The sequence below is a fragment of the Homo sapiens genome, chromosome 4 (genome assembly GCF_000001405.40).
Source record: "Homo sapiens chromosome 4, GRCh38.p14 Primary Assembly".
NCBI lineage: Eukaryota > Metazoa > Chordata > Mammalia > Primates > Hominidae > Homo > Homo sapiens.
The window spans coordinates 106,618,647-106,638,809 of NC_000004.12; the positions used below are offsets into that span (position 1 = coordinate 106,618,647).

At 37.4% G+C, this 20,163-nt stretch overlaps 1 long non-coding RNA gene across 2 annotated transcripts in view; it reads left to right on the forward strand.

Moving 5' to 3' along the window:
* The window catches only part of LOC105377356 (uncharacterized), a 288,441-nt gene that overhangs the window by 92,804 nt on the left and 175,474 nt on the right, over positions 1 to 20,163 (forward strand). For both annotated transcript variants that reach the window (XR_939051.1, XR_939053.3), the window contains exon 2: positions 8,388 to 8,487. This is a non-coding gene — a long non-coding RNA (uncharacterized LOC105377356). The remainder of the gene's footprint in view (positions 1 to 8,387; positions 8,488 to 20,163) is intronic.

The following is a 20,163-nucleotide window of genomic DNA, read 5'->3' on the forward strand; positions in this document are numbered from 1 at the left end:
AAAAGGTATTCTCCTTCCTATCCATTCTTAAGAAGCATGAGTAGAAGATGAGAGGAAAGAATTTCATTTGTTGGGCTCAAAGTCCTTAACAATATCTATAGCTGGACTGTAATCTTTATATTCCAGTCTTAAAAGATAGGACAGTTATATGAGCTTCTTTATGACAGAATTAGCTTTAAAAATAATAGCTAGCCTCCTCATTTCCTCGTAAATAATGGAAAACATCCCCCTTGATTGACACGTTAAAATTGGGATATAGTTTTTAATTAATATATTTGTGAATTTTCTATTTATTTTACCTTAAGCCATCTATTTTTAAACCATGTTAGAAGATATTGAGTGAAAAATTTACTGTGTCCCAGAGTTGTAGTTAAGGACTTCAGTTGTGGACAAGATGAGCTGAGTATCCCACTTTGAAAGCCAGTATGTAATAGAACCCAGCTATATTCCCACAGGGCTTGTTAAGAGGTGAAAAGTATATACCGCCCCCTGCCAACAGTGACTAAGAAGAGAACTGGGGAAAGAAAAGGGAATCGTCAAGAGTAATGCTAACTGTTGTAACTAACAACCCCCCATATTTTAGTAGATTAATACAATAAAATTTTATTTTTCACTTATGTAATTCAACAATGTGGGTGTTCCTGGCTTAAATGATTTTCCTTTGAGAAGATTTTTTCCGGTTTGTAAATTTGCCATTCTTGGCAAAGAGCATCTAGCCTTATGCTGGGGGTCATCTCCATTCCAGCCAGCCAGAAAGGAAGAGTATAGAGGATTGCATAGAGGAGGGCTTTATGGGCTGCATCAGTTTTCTAGGGCTGCCATAACAAAGCACCTCAGACTGGGTGGTTTGAGTAACAAAAAATCATTTTCTCACAGTTTTGCAGAAAAGAAGTCCGAGATCAAGGTGTAGGTAGAGTTGATTTCTTCCGAGGACTCTCTCTTTGGCTTAGAAATGGCTGCATTCTTACTGCGTCCACACATGATTTTTCCCCTTATGTGTACATCCCTGGTGTTACTTTGTTCAAATTTCCTTTTTTTATAAGGACATCAGTCAGCTTAGATTAGGATCTGCCTAACAGCCTCATTTTAACTTAATTACCTTTTTAAAGGCCTTATTTCTAAATACAGTCACATTCTGGGCTACTGGGAGTTAGGGTTTCAACATGTGAATTTAAGGAGATATAATTCAGCCCATAACATGGGACAAGCCTTGAAATGGTGTGTGTCATTTCCACTCCATGGACTCTTTGGCTGGAACTCAGTCTCATTGTCACACCTAAATGCAAAGGGAGCTAGGAAATACAGCTATCTTTCCCAGGAAGAAGAAAGAGAAGACATTGGTTTGACTGGGAAGCCATCTCTTCCATAGTCTGGTCACTAAATATTCATTTCATAGTTCTTATTCATGGAATTTACTTACCTTGTCTACAGACTCAATGTCTGTGATCTCCAGGTGATATGCAGTCTTTTCTACCAGGTCCAGATGTTGCTTCTCATGATCCAGTGACTACTAAACTATAAAGACAATTATCTGCTCACTCACTGCCTCCACACTTACTGTATAAGAGTAAAGCAGGGATAGAATAACAACAGTGAACTGTCCAAATGAGGAATGAGTGACAGACATAGCAGTGACTGCTAAACAGCAATAATCAACTCCTGTAGGGCAGGCTTTGTAAGGGTCCTTTGCTTTTAAAGTTCTTAATTAGACCCTTATTCTGTATTCTAGGAGGACCGTCCCTGAGCACTCTCCTGTGAGGCCTCTGGCTGCACTCTCTGGTAGTTTTCCTCTTATCTATTATTCTCCATGGGCACATCTCAAGTGGGCTTTGGGGCTATGCCCATTTTGAGTTGTTCAGATTTTGTAGCTCACTTAGTGCTCAGGTAAGTTTGAGCACCCATAAGTTGTTTAAAGGCTTGAGAAGTAATTAACATATATATTTTTTGACAATACAGTCCCCTCTATATCTTAGGAGTTTTTTGATCTTGCTTTCAATCAATTTCACATTTCAATATGCACACCTAAAATGTTCTCCCAAATAGAGCTCTGAAATCTGGCTTATTTCTTTGCTGTCTCCTCTTCATGCCTCTCTCAGCTTAAGCAAAACTACCTTGTGGCCATATGAAACAATAATTTGTGGTGGAAATGCATTAACCTTCATTCAGTCTCAAAGACAGTGCTGAATTTTTGTTCAGTAAAGTCTTACAGGGCTTACATTACTCAAAAGGCTTATCAATCTTTTACTCTTTTGTGTCCAGAAAGAGTTCGCTTTTCCAAATTATTCAGAGGTCACATTTCTGAAAATTTTAATTCCCTTTCATTTATGCTTGCAGACTATGCAATTTGATCTCATTTTTTCTCTTGTAATACCTCATTAAAAGCATTAGGTAAAAGCTAAGACACTCACTCTCAATCCTACTCTCACTTTCCCCCAAACTGCAGGTTCAGGTGCCGCTGGCTTATCTTCCAAGCAGATGATGATTTTACCAAATATTTTGCCACTGTGTAACATGAGTTTCCATCTGTTTAGCTTACATATATACATATATATGTGTATATATATACGTATATGTGTATATATATAACTGTTTGCTGCCTAATTAGACAATGTCTTTGTTTAAGGCAATATTCCACTCTAAATATCAATTTTTGTCTTTGCTATGATAAATTACTGTAACAGGCAAATAAAAGCACTTTGAAGCCTTAAAAGAGTAGTAATTTATTTCTTCTTACTTAGGAATTAATGTCGGTTTAGTTTGGGGCACAGGGGTCTTGGGTTTATGTATTTATTTAGGGACCCAGGCTGTTGGAGGCTCTACTCTCTTCTGTGGTCTTTCTGGGCATTTATATCCAAATTGAAGCTAGGGAAGAAACATATAAAATTATTATTTTAGAGATTGTAATGTACTATGACTAAAAGTAGTAGTAGTACTTCACTTTTGCTCACTGTATAGAACTCATGGCCACATGTAAATGCTGTCAATTCTAGGAACAGACTTGCTGTGTGCCCAAGAAAAAATGAAAACAGATTTGTTATTAAACTAGTTGACTGTATCACTGTGGAGTAAAGTGTCTGTGAACAAAGAGTCTTCCCTCCCTCCTTTACTGAACTTAAGTTAAGGGGAACCCAAGATCACTCATGAAGACTGGGAGTATCTTTAACCTGTTTATGCCTGAGGTTGCAGTTTTTTAACTTTTTGCAAACAGACCTTGGTGACTACCTTGAGCAGTAGGATATAAATAACTCCATCATGCTTAGTGTTCCTTAAGGAGGGGGAATCTGAGATCTCTTCTCTTAATAGGTGATTTCTGAGCTTCAGAACTCTCCAGAGCAGAGTTTGGTGAGAATGTGTTTAAAAGAACTGTAGGGAGCCCAAGAGTACAGCATGCAGTCTTATTAAAGTTCCTCCATTCCCACTCTGAGAAGAATAAGGTTTAATGGCCTCAGTAGTGAGCAGAGACTGGCATCTGCTTTCTGAAGACAGGAGGCTCCCTGGAACAGCATGATTTGAGTGGCTAATGACATAGAATAATTTATCTGAGCAAGCAAATTAGGGCTATTGTTTCCCGATCTCAAATCTGCAAGGCTTTTGAGAGGTGCCTTCACACTTAGACGGTAGTGAATAGAAACTTATATAGCCATTGAGAAAAGTGACAAAATGCCCAACCCAGAGAAGTTGTTGGGAGGTATATATATATATACACATATATGTACACACACACACACATGCATATATATGTATGTGTGTGTGTGCATGTGTGTGTGTATGTGTGTGTGTGTGTGTGTGTGTATATATATATAAATATTATTGCTGGTGGAGCCAATGGCAGACATAGTTGCTCCTCTAAAGAGGTCTCTTGAACAATGGACGAAGCTTAGGTGAAAGTAAACACCACCCTGAGGAACCCATGCACATCACCCACATGGAGCCCCGAATATTAGCAAAATTCTCAACATCAGATGAAACCACATGACTAGAATGAGGATGGAAATACCTCCCAACTACCATCAAAAGGAAAGTCACGTAAAAAGATAATGCCTTCTCTTTTCCTTATCCTTGTCCCACACCAGAGGACCTAAAACCTTCTCTCCAACCCCGTCTACTTTATGCAGCCAGGGCTTCTGGTTTAGTCCGTGCAGGATGGGATATGAGTTTTGGATTAAGTTCAGCCTGAAGTTTCAAAATAAGTAAGATTACTTTGTTGCTGTTAACAGCTTTATTGAGGTATAAATGACATACAAGTAGCTGCATATATTTAAACCATACAATTTGATATATTTTGATATATTTCTGAATATATAAAAATATATCTGAGAAATTATTACCAGAATTAATAATGAGCATGTCCATCACTGGCAAAAATTTTCTCATGTGCTTTGTAAAACTCTTTTTGTCTGTCTGCTTTCATTTAGCACAGTTGTTTTGAGATTTATCCATTTTGTTGTATTAATAGTTTACTTTTTATTGCTGAATAGTATTCTATTGTTTATATGTTCCACAATTTGCTTTCATTCACCTGTTGATAGACTGGGTTGTTTTCAGTTTTTGGTTATTAAAATAAAACTGCTACGAACATTACACACAATTTTTATAGAAATATGTTCTTATTTTTCTTGGGTAAATACTGTGCAATGAAATGGGTGGATCACAAAGTAGGTGTACAATTAACAGATTCAGAAATGGCCAAGGTATTTTCCAACATGGTTGTACCATTAAAGATTCTCACCAGCATTGTATTAGAATTCTGGTGCTTCCATGGCCTTGCCAACACTTGGTATTGTGAGTTGTTTAAATTACAACCTTTCTAAAAGTATACAGTCATATTAATTGTGATTTTAATTTGTATTTCCCTAATAACTAATGAGGTTGAGCATCTTTTCATGTGTTTATTTTTCATCTGTTTATTTCCCCTGATAAAAATGTCTGTTCACATGTTTGCCAACTTTTGAAGGCATTATTATTGTTTAATTTTGAAATTCTTTATATATTTTGGGTACAAATCTTTTTATCAAATATATGATTTACAAATATTTTGTCTATGTCTGTGGATTATCTTTTTACTCTCGTAACAATTGTGGGGTGGGGGGAGGGGGGAGGGATAGCACTGGGAGATATACCTAATGCTGGATGACGGGTTAGTGGGTGCAGCGCACCAGCATGGCACATGTATACATATGTAACTAACCTGCACATTGTGCACATGAACCCTAAAACTTAAAGTATAATAATAATAAATAAATAAATAAATAAATAAATAAAACACAATGTCTTCTGAAAAGTTTTGATTTTGAAAAAGTCAAATTTTTCAATTTGTTCTCTTGTAAATCATGCCTTTTGTATTGTAACTAGGAAACCTTCATCTAATCCAAGATCGAAAAAGTTTTCTCCTAGATTTATAGTTTTAGTTTTTATATTAAATTCCATTTGAGTTAATTTTTGTATATGGCAATTTTTTGTCTTGTATGTAGTTTGCATGTCCAATAGTTTCAATATAATTTGAAGAAAATATAATTTGAAGAAAAAACTACCATTTCTCCTCTGACTTTCCTGTGAATCTTTACAAATATCAATCATCCATATGTGTGTGAGGCCATTGATCTATTTGTTTATATTTACATTTATACTGTATTCTTTAATTATTGTCACTTTACTGTAAGGTGAAGTCAGGTAGTGTAAATGCTCTGATGTTGCTCTTCTTTTTCAAAGTTGTTTTGACTCTTCAAGGTCCTTTGAATTTCCTTTTCTACTTGAAACCTCCTACACAAAAAGCTTGCTGGGATTTTGATTACAATTGCATTGCAATTACATAATAATTTAATGAAGACTGACATTTGATATTACTGAGTCTTCCAACCCATGGACACGCTATATTTCTCTATATTTTTAGATTTTAATTTTCCCTAGCAGTGTTTTGTAGTTGCCACATCTTTTTCAAATCTATCCTTATGTATTTCATATTTATAATGTTATAGATGATTATAAAATTATTTTTTGATAGAAATACAATTGATGTTTTAACCTTGCAGCCTTACTAATCTCACTTACTAGTTCTAGAAGTTATTTTACACAGTTCATCAGGTTTTCTACGTATACAATTATTTCTTTTGTGAATAAAGGCAGTCATACTTTTTACATTCCAATCTGGATGTTTTATGTTTATTTCTCATGTTTTATGGTAGTAGTCAGAATCTCCAGTATAGTATTAATAGAAATGATGAGAGCTAACATTTTTATTTAGTTCTTCATCTTGGAGGAAAACATGAGTCTTTCACTATAAGTGTGATGTTAGCTGAAGGATTTTCATGGGTGATCTTTATCAGGTTAAGGAAGTTCCCTCCTATTTCTGGTTTACTGTGAAGTTTTTATTTTGTTTATTTGTAGATGTTATATTTTGTCAAATGTTTTTCCTGAGCTTATTTAGATAATAAGTATTTTTAATTTTTAAATCCCTTAATATGATGAAGTATACTGATTGGTTTTCAAGAATTAAGCCCACCTTACATTCTTGGGATAATCTCAATTTGGTTGTGATATATTATTGTTTTTATATCTTGTCAGATTTAATTTTCAGAAATTTTGTTTGGAATTTTTGCATCTATGATTATAAAAAATATTGCTCTGTAAACAAACAAAAAGTTTATTTGTAAACAAACCTTTAAATCTTTGCTCCAGAATCAACTTGTCCTGGACAAAGAACTTAAAGCCTATGAACCTCAGTCCATCTTCAAAAAGGATCTATTGAGTTCCCTTTTGGGCTGTTAGGACAATTAGAAATAATGATTACAAAGCACCCGACACAATACTTGACACATAGTAGATAGCCAATTTTTGGCATCAATATTAATAATAGTAACTTAATTTCTGATAAAATAAAGAGTGCTAAAAGAGAAAAGAGGTGTTTCATTTCTTATTATGCTTATGTAAAAGCATTCAGAACAATTTGGAATAATGATTTTATTTTTTTATTTGTGTCGATTTAGGCATACAAGTGCATTGTGTTACATGGGTATATTGTGTAGTGGTGAAGTCTGGGCTGTTAGTGCACCTATCATCTGAATAGTGTACATTGTGCCCAATAGGAATAGATATTATTTCATCCCTCACTTCCCTCATACCTTCTTACTTTCTGGACTCTCAAATGTCTATTATTCCCCTCTGTGTGTCCATGTGTACATATTGTTTAGCTCCCACTTATCAGTGGGAACATGGAGCTTTTGACCTGTTTTGGAGTCGCTTCACGTAGGATAATGGTCTCTGGTTCTATCCATGTTGCTACAAAAGACATGGTTTCATTCTTTTATATGGCTGAGTGATATTTCATGGTATATTTATACCACAGTTTAAATCCAGTCATTCACTGATGGACACAAAAAGGGAATGCTTACACACTGTTGGTAGGAATGTAAATTAATGCAACCTTTATGAAAAGCAGTATGAAGATTTCTCAAAGAACTAAAAATAGAATTACCATTCAATCCAGCAATCTCACTACTGAGTATCTACCCAAAAGAAAATATATCATTTTACCAAGAAGGCACCTGCACTCCTATGGAATGATAATTTTTGCATTAAAAAATCATAACTGATGTATCTTTATAACGACATGATACTCAGTAAAAAATGTAACATAATATTGGGACAGGAAAAATACCATGAGTTTAAGGATATCTGCCTATCACTGATTCTTATGTGATCTCAGATAATTTGGACTCATTTGTAAACAGAGCAACTGGATTGAAATTTTCATAATTTTGTATTTTTTAATACTGATACATGAAAGACTGATACTGAGTCCAGAAAGATGCATTGTCTTTGATTCAATCTTTATTTATTGGGGACTTATTTTTTAGTTATATCTAATCCTCATTTTATTAAGAAAATTTTAAAAACCCACATTAGCTTAACTTAATTTAAAATTCTAATCTCTGATCATTACCTCCTCAACAATACTCTACTTACCTGCACTCCTAAATTTTAGCCTTTACACCTGTAATGCAGCTACAGTTACTATAAGATGACATTTTTGATGATCTACTCACTATTCATTTTTCCTCTTCTTCCAAATGAAATCTGGATCTATTCAGGTATACAGCATTCTCATGCAGTCATGTGCCCCCAAAATATGACCCCATCCCAGCTACAGAGGCATAACTCATTTTTTCTAAGGGTGGGCTGATTATCATTCCAAGTGATTGGTCTATGAATGGAAATATGTCCCAATCCTAACCAACAAACTATAAACTTCAGTCTTCTGGTACATTTTCTAGAAAATTTTCCTCCACCCTAAGAGCTATCCACATCAGAGGATAGTCTATCTTTTTTGTCTGGATCTTTTTTTTATTTTGGTCTGAATTAAGAATTTGATTTCTTTTTTTTTTCCGCAGCAATCTATCTAACAGCCTGTGGATGAGGTCAAAGGAAAGAGGGAAGAAAGGAGAAAGGGGAGAAGGAAAGAACTTGAGGCTTTGATGACCGTTGGAATGCGTAAGTAACCAACCCTGAAACCTGAACTTTCTCTTCATTTCTATGATGTGGAATAATAAATTTTCTTAGTGTTTAAGTTTCCTTAGAATTTCTTTTACTTGTGGCCAAAGATACTGCCAAATGTTTAGACTCATAACCTGATATTTCATAACCTTATTGTAATACTTCTGTTTCCATTCTTCTGCTAGTAAAAGTTGTAAAAGCACAGCATTTCGCAATCTAAAATACAAATTTGGTTTTTAAAATAAATTTTTTGAATTCTTTTTTATTTCAATAGGTTTTTGGGGCAACAGGTGGTCTTTGGTTACATGAATAAGTTCTTTAGCGGTGATTTCTGAAATTTTGGTGCACCCATCACCCAAGCAGTGTACATTGTACCCAATGTGTAGTCTTTTATCCCTCACCCACCTCCCATCCTTTCCCACAAGTCCCCAAAGTCCATTGTATCATTCTTATGCCTATGTGTCCTCATAACTTAGCTCCCAATTATGAGAGAGAACATACAATGTTTGGTTTTCCATTCCTGAGTCACTTCACTTAGACTAGTAGTCTCCAGTTCCATCCAGGTTGCTGAGAATGCCATTAATTCGTTCCTTTTTATGGCTGAATAGTTAAAATACAAATTTGAAAAAGAAATATTCATGGTAAACAATTGATAGGATTGGCCGGGCGCGGTGGCTCACGCCTGTAATCCCAGCACTTTGGGAGGCCGAGGTGGGTAGATCACGAGGTCAGGAGATCGAGATCATCCTGGGTGAAACCACGACTCTACTAAAAATACAAAAAATTAGCCGGACGTGGTGGCAAGTGCCTATAGTTCTGGCTACTCGGGAGGCTGAGTCAGGAGAATGGCCTGAACCCGGGAGGCGGAGCTTGCAGTGAGCCGAGATCGCGCCACTGCACTCCAGCCTGGGGGACAGAGCAAGACTCCATGTCAAAGAAAAAAAAAAATGTTAGGATTAAGCTCTATGGGGTATTATTGTATCTCCAGGCAGTAGGGGTATGCTATGCTGCTGTAACAAGTTAATGTTTATGATGAAAGGCAGATAGGACAGGAAGCACAGTATGTTAATTAGTTCCTTATGAGAAAAACCCATTATTTCACCCAACAGATTTTTCCATTTGGTAAAATATTATTAAAAACTCAGTTTGACACTGATTTTAGTATGTTTTTTTCTTCTAAATTATATATACATACACACAGACTCTCACACACACGCACACATATGGTTAGTGAAGACTATGGGAGAATTAATTTGAAGTTTTTTTTTTTTTTCTTTTTTTCTTTTTTGAGATAGAGTCTCACTCTGTCACCCAGGCTGGAGTCCAATGGCACGATCTTGGCTCACTGCAGCCTCTGCCTCCCAGGTTCAAGGGACTCTCCTGTCTCAGGCTCCCGAGTAGCTGGGATTACAGGTGTGCGCCACCATGCCAGGCTAATTTTTGTATTTTTAGTGGAGATGGGGCTTCACCATGTTGGCCAGGCTCGTCTCAAATACCTGACCTCAAGTGACCTGCCTACCTCGGCCTCTCAAAGTATTGGGATTACAGGCGTGAGCCACAGTGCCCAGCCTGAAGCCTTTAGCCAAAACAAATACTTTAATAAATCTCTTCTTACTTCCAAGAAAAAAAAGACATTTTGTTATTTTGACATGCTCTTTGTTGTTTATACAATCAGTGAAATACTCTTGTAAAATGAGTAAGTTTTGGAATCCAGAGCTTAGGTCTGACATTAATTAGCTATGAGGAAAGAGGTGGATCAAATAAAAAATTACAATAAGAAAGAATTTAACAGACACACTATATTATGCAGGAACAACACTCAAATTAATTTTAACAGTATTTAACATATATTGGATCATTGTTTAAATGAATGAGTATAACAAATTCACCATGAATCCTGTTATAGAAGAGTTAGTGTCTGAAGTGCCTGCAGCCATTAAGTGGTGATATTACTTATGAGGATTCCAGTGGCATATTCCTTAAGCATGGAATGTTTTATGCCACTCACTTACTGCATGTGGCACTGGATCTTTTAAGTGCTTAAATGATTCCCACTATGTCTTTTTAAAAAATAGATTATTGTTTACTTGGCATAAACTATAAAAATGCTTTTCCATTCATCGGGAAGAACTCACTTGTTCTTTAGGCAAGACTTTCTTTTTCACAAAATGCCATTTACTCTTAGTGTTGAATGTTTGTCATGCCAAGGATGAACGTGATGCCTTGATAATAATTCTGGACTTGCTGTTGTTCACTTGGACACTGTTAGCTAATCCACCAAGAAACATACTTTCATTTCCATCATCATCATTAGGATGGGTGAGTCATACAGGAGGTCTGGGGTACTTTATGATTAAATCCAGGAAGGCTTGGAAATACCTTAATTCTATATTTTCCATGATAAACACAGCCAGATTTTTTAAGTTAAGAATGTTTGGACATTTACAAGACATGGATAGTTGTCCAATGTTCCAGTGCTTGTTCTGTTAAGATTTCAGTGTTTGGTTAGCTGATTTTTTTTTTCTTTTTCCTTTTCTCTTTGTATACTTAGAGGAGAGAAAACACTCCTCAGAGTTGGGCTTGTAATATCTATTTGAGGTTTAGATTTACACTGTGACTGTTTTTGCCTGGGGTAGGGGAGAGTTTCTTAGGTTGGGTTCTCTTAATTTCCACCTAGAGACCTAGATCGATACCTAGAATTTTAGATAAGCAACACCTTTTTTGGAGCACATGGTTAGCTTTCTTCAAGTGGCTTGAGGTATTTTTTGTTTCCAAATATCATTTGAAATATGATTTCCTTTTTGTACTCTTGACCAATCACTCTGCAATGCTGAGAACATTTGCCTATATCTAATTGATTTGTTTTGAGGAGCTATGCCAGAAACCGCATAGACTCTGAACAGTAATAATCACGTATATTATTTAGGAACACATTGTTCCGGTGGTACTTCGTCTTTATTTTTTGCACAACTCTGTCCCCTTTCTCTTTTTGCCTCCTTTGGCACTATTTCTTATCGCCTTCCCAAAGATGCAATCCACTCCAGTGTTGGCAGGCAATAATGGCCCTGAGAAGCACCCTGAACCACATGTTTGAAAAAGAGGAATTATATGAGCTCAGAATTTGCTTGGTGTGCAGCATTTATAGTATTAACCAGGGGCCATTTTGCCAGCTTCCCTAAAGTATATTCAGGCTTCATCTTGACAGCAGATAATCACATTTGCAGGTTGTATTTTAATTAATTTTACTTGCAACTGTAATTTTATAAATCCATACCTATTCAGTTTGCAGGCCAATCTTTCTGCTATTGGGTAACTTTTATTTTTGAAATATCTAACATTTATACCTATTAATTTGGAAGTGTGCTGTTAATCCTGTAAGTATCACTTACTGTGTTTTATTTATTTCTGACTTGCACTAGGCTGTGAACTAGTGAATAAAGATGTTGTCTTATTGTTCTTTGATTCCCAAACCCTAGGAAAGTAATTGGCACAGATTAAGTGTTCAATAAAAGTTGAATGAATGAATTAATGTGAGTGTGGGTCAAAAACACATGGCAGCCTTACTAGGGGATTGGCTTAACAAATGGTGGTTAAAAATTCTTCCAATAGGCAGACCTTTGGGAAGTGCACTTTGTTATGTGTGAATTATGGGCAGAGGCAAATGGTCTAGCATGAAAGCTTTTAAGTTTGGAAGGAAAAGGTTTGGAAGACTGGAGACGAAGTAGTCTGGGGTACAGACATTTCGATAAACATATGAAAGTGAGCACACGTGGAAAGATCAAGATTTTTATATTAGTAGTAGTTCATGCAACCAAGAGGACAATATGACCCAACCTGTCTTAAACTCAGCCAGCCTCTGTTGTTGTCTACCCAGTGCTGGCAGGTTGGCCATACAGTACCAGTAATGGAGACAGAAGTCACACATGGGCCTAATGTCATGAACTCCCACTTACCAGGGCTGATCTAGCTACTGCCACTGCTGAATGTCTGATATGCCAGCAACAGAGGTAACTACTGAGCTCCCAATATGGCATCATTCCTCAAGGAGATAAATTCATCCCTTATTGGCCAGCTGATTATATTATTGGGGACTTTCCATCCTGGAAGGAGCAGTGATTCATTCTCAGAAGAATAGACATATATCCCAGATATGGGTTTTCTTTTTCTGTCCACAGGGCCTTACCCAGTACCATTATCTTAAGATTTAAGTGTTTGATCCACTGGTGTAAAACCCCACACAATGTTGTATTAGAACAGGCAGCAAACTTTATATCAAAAGGGATATTTGGGCTCATAACCATGGGATCAACTGTTCATGTCACATTCTGCACTACCCACAAGCTGACAGCCTGATAGATCACTGAATAGCCTGTGGAAGGCATAGCTGAAGTGCCAGCTTGGGAAGTGGTAGCCTGCATGTATGACATGTTATCCTCTAGGATTTCATTCAAGGCAATATAGGCCTTGAATGGAAAAGCTTATACGGCATTGTATTTCCAGTGGGAAATGAAACAAAGAGGTAGAAAAAGGAGTAGCTCTTTGTACCATCCCTCCCAATAACCTGCTGGGGGAATTTGGTGATTCACATCCTTGCAACACTAGGATCTAAAGAGTTAGAGGTCCTAGGCTTCCAAAAGGGCACACTGTAAGCAGGGGACATAGCAAAGCTACCATTAAATTTTAAGCTACACACTTGGGATCCTTGCATCCCAGGGCCAGCATGCAAGAGCCAGAGGTAACTGACTTGACAGGGGTAATTGACTAATCAGCAGGAGGAGTTGGACCTGCTGTTACATAGTAAAACAGAAAGGAATATGTGTGAACCCAGATGATCCACATGGGTACCTCCTGGAACTCCATTTCCCAAATATTACTGATAATATATAGATACATAAACTACAGCATGGTGCCTGGAACCTAGAGTCTTTGAGCATGAAGATTTGGGTCATGGCACCATGTAAATCACCCAGGACAGAAGAAGTAGAAGCTAAGCATGAGGGAAATCTAGAGTAGACAGTGAAGCAAAGAGATGATGAATATCAACTGTGGACCTGAGATAGCTGTAGAAGTGAAGACTATTGCTTATCCTACTAAATTGTCTCTTCTAAGTTTTACCTCAGGAAGACAGGCCCATCAAAATCCTGGAGAAGCTGCTCCCCGAGTGTATTTAAAAGATAATATGAGTGGTATAAGAAATGGGCTGTGGTAGATGAGGGCATGCATAACGCAATTCCTTATCCCAGAAAAATCTAGATGACCAAATGTGGAGAGGAAGATTAGTAGGCACCCTCCAGCTGCCAACTCGTCAGAGTCTGCCTTAGCTGCATATAGCTGTTTCACTTTAGGTCATTCCATCCTTGGGCAGTTTGCATCCAGTTACAGATTGAGACATGTCCATAAAGGCTTTTTAATTTTAGCTTGGTGAAGGATGACTCTAATGGGCAATATGTCCTCCATATGTCCCCTCCAGGTTGGCTGAGGCTTTGTTAGATATACATCGCAGTCCAGCTTCTCCCTCTGCCCAATCTTAATTCTTTCCCCTTTTTTCAGATGTACAGATCCCTAATAAACCTTCCTGGTACAAAATGGGGCTGAAAAGTTATGGAGAGATTTGACTCAGGAGAGTCTTATTAGTATGTATTAAGAATTTGGGCTTCATTACAGGGTAATCGGAATACATTCAAGAGTTTTAAATAAAGGAGTGACATGATTGATTTGCATTTTTAAAACCACCTTATCAACAGAAGGGAACAGATAGAAGTGAGAGCATTTTTAATGTTCTAGAGGTGGGGTCAATGGAACTGTGTGCAGGAAGTTCTGATGCTGCTGCAGATATTCAAGCAAGAGATGTGGTGGCTTGAACTAAGAATGTGACAATGACCAAAGAGTTATTTAGGAGGCATGAAGTCATTTTTTGGACAAAGGAGTACAAATGAAGGAGAGTCAAGAACAAACAAGAGGAAATTCAACAAGACTCTTTTGTAAAGAAGGTACAGCACAGTGGCTTCATCTATAGCCAACAGGATAATTTCTAGAAAGTAAACCTTATTACTAAGATGACTACTAACGTTACTGTGTTTTGATGTCAGAGTTTTGCTGTTCTGAGTCCTTGTTACTGATGTATAGCTATTGTGTTGTAAATTTACATTACAAGATTTAAGGTACCTTGCCCTCACAAAGCCTGTGACTGAAGATATTCTTCCTTTCTCTGTCTTTTTTTTTTTCTTTGCTTCTATATTATACTGGCTTGGCTCTCAACATCAAAGTGATACAATAAAGAGATCACCTGTAATAAGAACTATCCCCGACTAGATTTACATGATCTCAAAAGAGTAGTTTCTTTTTAATGTTAATAATGACATTATATCTGTATTATATAATTCTACTTCTGACCCACACTGCCTGTCAGGTGAAACTTCGATTGAGATGAAGAGAAGGGGCTGGGTGCGGTGGCTCATGCCTGTAATTCCAGCACTTTGGGAGGCCGAGGCGGGTGGATCGCGAGGTCAGGAGCTCGAGACCAGCCTGACAAACATGGTGAAATCCTGTCTCTACTAAAAATACAAAAATTACCTGGGCGTGGTGGCGCACACCTATAATCTCAGCTACTCAAGAGGCTGAGGCAGGAGAATTGCTTGAACCCAGGAGGCGGAGGTTGCAGTGAGCCATGATTGCGCCACTGCACTCCAGCCTGGGCAACAGAGTGAGACTCTGTCTCAAAAAAAATAAAATAAAATAAAATAAAAAGAAGAGAAGGTTACCATAGTTAATTATTTGCCTCTTCCAAATATTGACTGCTGATAAACAGACCACCTCTTTAATTTAGGGTTAAGCATTTTGTTTTGTGATTTCTTTCTTTTTTTTTTTTTTTTGAGACAGAGTCTTGCTCTGTTGCCCAGGCTGTAGTGCAGTGGCGTGATCTCGTTGGCTCACTGCAACCTCCGCCTCCCGGGTTCAAGCCATTCTCCTGGCTCAGCCTCCCGAGTAGCTGGGATTACAGGCACCCGCCACCATGCCCAGCTAATTTTTTGTATCGTTAGTAGAGACAGGGTTTCACTGTGTTAATCAGGGTGGTCTCGATCTCCTGACCTTGTGATCCGCCTGCCTCGGCCTCCCAATGTGCTGGGATTAAGTGTGTGAGCCACCGTGCCCAGCCCATTGTTTTATGATTTCTATCCTGGAATGTCTTCATCATATTTGTTTCAATTATCCTTGATATATTTTAGAGGCTGAGAAGATTTTTTTTTTCTTTTGAGATGGAGTCTCACTTTTTTGCCCAGCCTGGAGTGCAATGGCGAGATCTTGGCTCACTACAGCCTCCGTCTTCTGGGTTCAACAGATTGTCCTGCCTCCGCCTCCCCAGTAGCTGAGATTACAGGCATGTGCCACGCCTGGCTAATTTTTGTCTTATTAGTAGAAATGGGGTTTCACCATGTTAGCCAGGCTGGTCTCAAATTCCTGACCTCAACTGATCCACCTCAGCCTCCCAAAGTGCTGGGATTACAGGCATGAGCCACCACGCCCAGCCAGAGGCTGAGAAAATTTGACAGAAGAGAAAGTGCTAGAGGTGTTTGCCAAAAGCATATGTAGGAAACAATTTGCATGGGCTCTCTGGGCATTGAACTAGTTGGTAAGGTTGGAGTGAAAAGCAGAGAGGGAGGAATGTCTTTATTCCCAGTCATTCATTTCCAAAAGAGAAGAGTAAAGCTGATGATTTCTTTAGATGCTAGAAGCCAAGAGTCATTATCTTCCTCAGTCTCTGAGAAAGACTAAGTGATCCATTAAAAAACAAAATGTTCCACATGGTAGGAATAGACACCCAATATTTTAGGTGTGTGTGAAATGAAATGATCCATGTAAGTGATTTTTCCAGCTGAAGCTTATCTATGTTAAGTGCTAAAGTTTATTTTTTTAATGGGAGTCTTTAAAAAATGTTTCACACATTTCTCTTGGTTTTGCAAGAAAGGGCATTTGGTATCACTTAAACATTCTCTGTAAATGTTCAAATTTCCAAAACATGCACTGTCTCAGAACTGTCATTAGAAATACTAATTAATATGCTATAATGTGACATAATATTCTGAATTATTATCTTGAGATTTAGGTTGCTTTATACTTAATGGCTTCAGGCTGTTATATTTTTCAATTTCTTGCCTCTATTATTTTTAGTTTTTCTCACTTTTTTGAAATATATATGCAGCAACAGTAAACAGGGTTTCTGTGGTTAAGAAACATTTAAAGTATTAATCTCACACATCTCATTGGTGATTTTTTGGTTCATTATGCATTCATCACTCTTTCTACTTCTTTATTCACTTGTCTTTTTTAATTTTTATTTTTTACTCGCTGATTTTTCACGATATTACTGGTATTGCTTATGAGATAAGAGAGCCAAAGTACTCTCCTGAAGAACTAGAAATTTGTTCTTTTTGAGTTCAGGGAGAAAAAATGAACATATTGTCTTGATGTATATTGTGAAAAACTACAAATAGGGTTAACATTGTTGCAGGCATAAATTCTTATATGTTTAGGGGTTACTGCTGCCTGTGCTATTTGTTCACACAATTGAAGTACCTAAGTAGTAAACTGGCCTTCTTAACACAAAGGTTTATCTACCAAGTTGAATGCTGGAGGAGCAGAGAAGGAAGCTATTGCAAAAGGGCACCATCACAGTAGTCAGTGATTGATGATGTATGAGGGAATGGAGTGTATCTTAGGTAGAACATGGGCTGGAGCTCCTGGGAGTTGGAAAATAACAGAAATGACTATCACAAATGGTCCCATAGGACATAATCTCAAGGCACTGCCAGAAAAGTTTTTGTAGCTGATAATTTTTTCCTTTTGGGTGGTATGAGGGAAGGTGTGAGGGAATATCTTTGGCTATAATCTTTTATTTTCTTTCATCTCTTTATTTCGAAAGAAGGTATAAAAGCAAGCAAAAAACAAACAAACAAACAAAAACCTGAAAAAACAGTGGTAGTGAAGATCTCATGGCCAAAAGCTTTGAGAAAGAATACTGCAGGGATTGCAAAGCCTTTGGAAGCCTACAACAGTGTGCTCTGAGGGTATTGGTCTTAAGAACCAAATGGACTTGGTTCAAGACTTGCTTTTGCTCTTCTAAGCCATGGAGTCTTGGGGAAATAGTTAACCATTTTAAATTATAATACTTTCATTTGTGAAATAGGAGTATTAGTACCTACTTCATAGCACTGAGGGAATTTAGTCAAATCACATGCTTACTATACTTAAGGTAAGTGTGTAAAGAATTGCAGCTTTAATAACTAATGTGCTAAAACATTAAACTTTCTTATTGTCTTGGTTTGAAGGCTCAAGTTTCTTTGTAACTCAAATATATTAATAGTATTTATGGATTTCCTTCTCTAACAGAATGATTTTAGTTTTATCTGGGCTTCATTGGTCCAGGGCATATTATTCTCCCATTTTATTTTCTATTTAGGAAGATGAAAAAGTGTTTTGAAATATCCTCTCTGATTGGGGGGTAGGGAATTTGGGGAGAGAAGAAAGATATACAAATTCTTTATTTTTTCTAAAGTAAGTTTTGAATTTGCAATAAATATTTTGCTTGGGAAAAATAATTCTTAGCTAGTTTTAATAATGCCAAAGCAAGGCCGGGTGCAGTGGCTCACGCCTGTAATCCTAGCACTTTGGGAGGCCTAGGCAGGCAGATCACCTGAGGTCAGAAGTTCGAGACCAGCCTGGCCAACATAGTGAAACCCCATCTCTACAAAAATAAAAATTAGCCGGGCATGATGGCGGGTGCTGTAAGGCAGGGGAATCGCTTGAACCTGGAAGGCGGAGGTTGCGTGAGCTGAGATCGTGTCATTGCACTCCAAAGACGTCGTCTCAAAAAACAAACAAACAAAAAAAGCCAAGACAAGTCCTCTGATTACCACAGCTCTCTCTATTTAGTTTCTTTAAAATTATGCTTTTGTTACAAAAATTCACATTTATATTTTTGACATTCACCCAATGCCTGTGCCTGCATTGTGTCTTGGATATAACCAACTAGTTTTTGATTTTACAGGCTCATAGGAGGAAGGGATTTGCCTTGTCTCAGATGAGGCTTTGGACTAGGACTTTTGAGTTAATGCTGGAATGAATTAAGACTTTGGTGGACTGTTGGGAAGGTATGATTGTGTTTTGAAATGTGAGAAGGACATGAGATTTGGGAGGGGCCAGGAGTGGAATGATATGTTTGGCTCTTTGTCTCCACCCAATTCTTATGTCGAATTGTATTAATAATTCCCGGTGTTGGAGGAGAGACCTGGTGGGAAGCGATTGGATCCTGGAGGCAGATTTTCCCCTTGCTGTTCTTGTGAGAGTGAGTGAGTTTTCATGAGATCTGGTTGTTTGAAAGTGTGTGGCACCTTCCCCTTGGCTCTCTTACTCCTGCTCCACCATGGTAAGACGTGCCTGCTTCCCCTTCACCTTCCGCCATGATTGTGATTTTCCTGAGGCCTCCAGTCATGCTTCCTGTATAGTCTGTGGAACTGTGAGTCAATTAAACCTCTTTTCTTCATAAATTACTCAGTCTCAGGTAGTTCTTTATAACAGTGTGAGAATAAACTAATAGAGAATCTAAATCTAAAATGTTATTTAACTGGAATATAAATGCCAGGGACTATGGTAGGTGATGAGAATACTTCCATGCAAAGATTTTAATATATTGTTCAACATAGAGTGTACCTCTACAAAGTTCAGACATTTGAGAATGAAAGATTAAACAACGACGAAGTCAATGTCTCATCAATAGGGACATCATTAAATAAAAGACTTTTGGATAACATTTTATAAGAAAACTCATTGGGACAACAGGGCTTTAAACTTCACCTAGTTTATTCTGTATCTGGAGGCGTAACCAAAACTTTATTATATAAAAGAATGAAGGAAATTGAAAACAGGGAATTGCAGAATGCCAACAAAATTATCATTCCTGTATACATAATATTTATAGTGCCAAATGCCAGTAGAAATTCCTTTTGCATTTTATTGTTGCCTAATTAATTGTGTCAGGAATTCTAAAGCAATTAGGAAGCAAAAAGGAAAGAGAAAAAAAGAAACTTTCCCATATGAACTTTAAAGTAGTTTTTTCCAATTCTGTGAAGAAAGTCATTGGTAGCTTGATGGGGATGGCATTGAATCTATAAATTACCTTGGGCAGTGTGGCCATTTTCACGATATTGATTCTTCCTACCCATGAGCATGGAATGTTCTTCCATTTGTTTGTATCCTCTTTTATTTCCTTGAGCAGTGGTTTGTAGTTCTCCTTGAAGAGGTCCTTCACATCCCTTGTAAGTTGGATTCCTAGGTATTTTATTCTCTTTGAAGCAATTGTGAATGGGAGTTCACTCATGATTTGGCTCTCTGTTTGTCTGTTATTGGTGTATAAGAATGCTTCTGATTTTTGTACATTGATTTTGTATCCTGAGACTTTGCTGAAGTTGCTTATCAGCTTAAGGAGATTTGGGGCTGAGACAATGGGGTTTTCTAGATATACAATCATGTCATCTGCAAACAGGGACAATTTGACTTCCTCTTTTCCTAATTGAATACCCTTTATTTCCTTCTCCTGCCTAATTGCCCTGGCCAGAACTTCCAACACTATGTTGAATAGGAGTGGTGAGAGAGGGCATCCCTGTCTTGTGCCAGTTT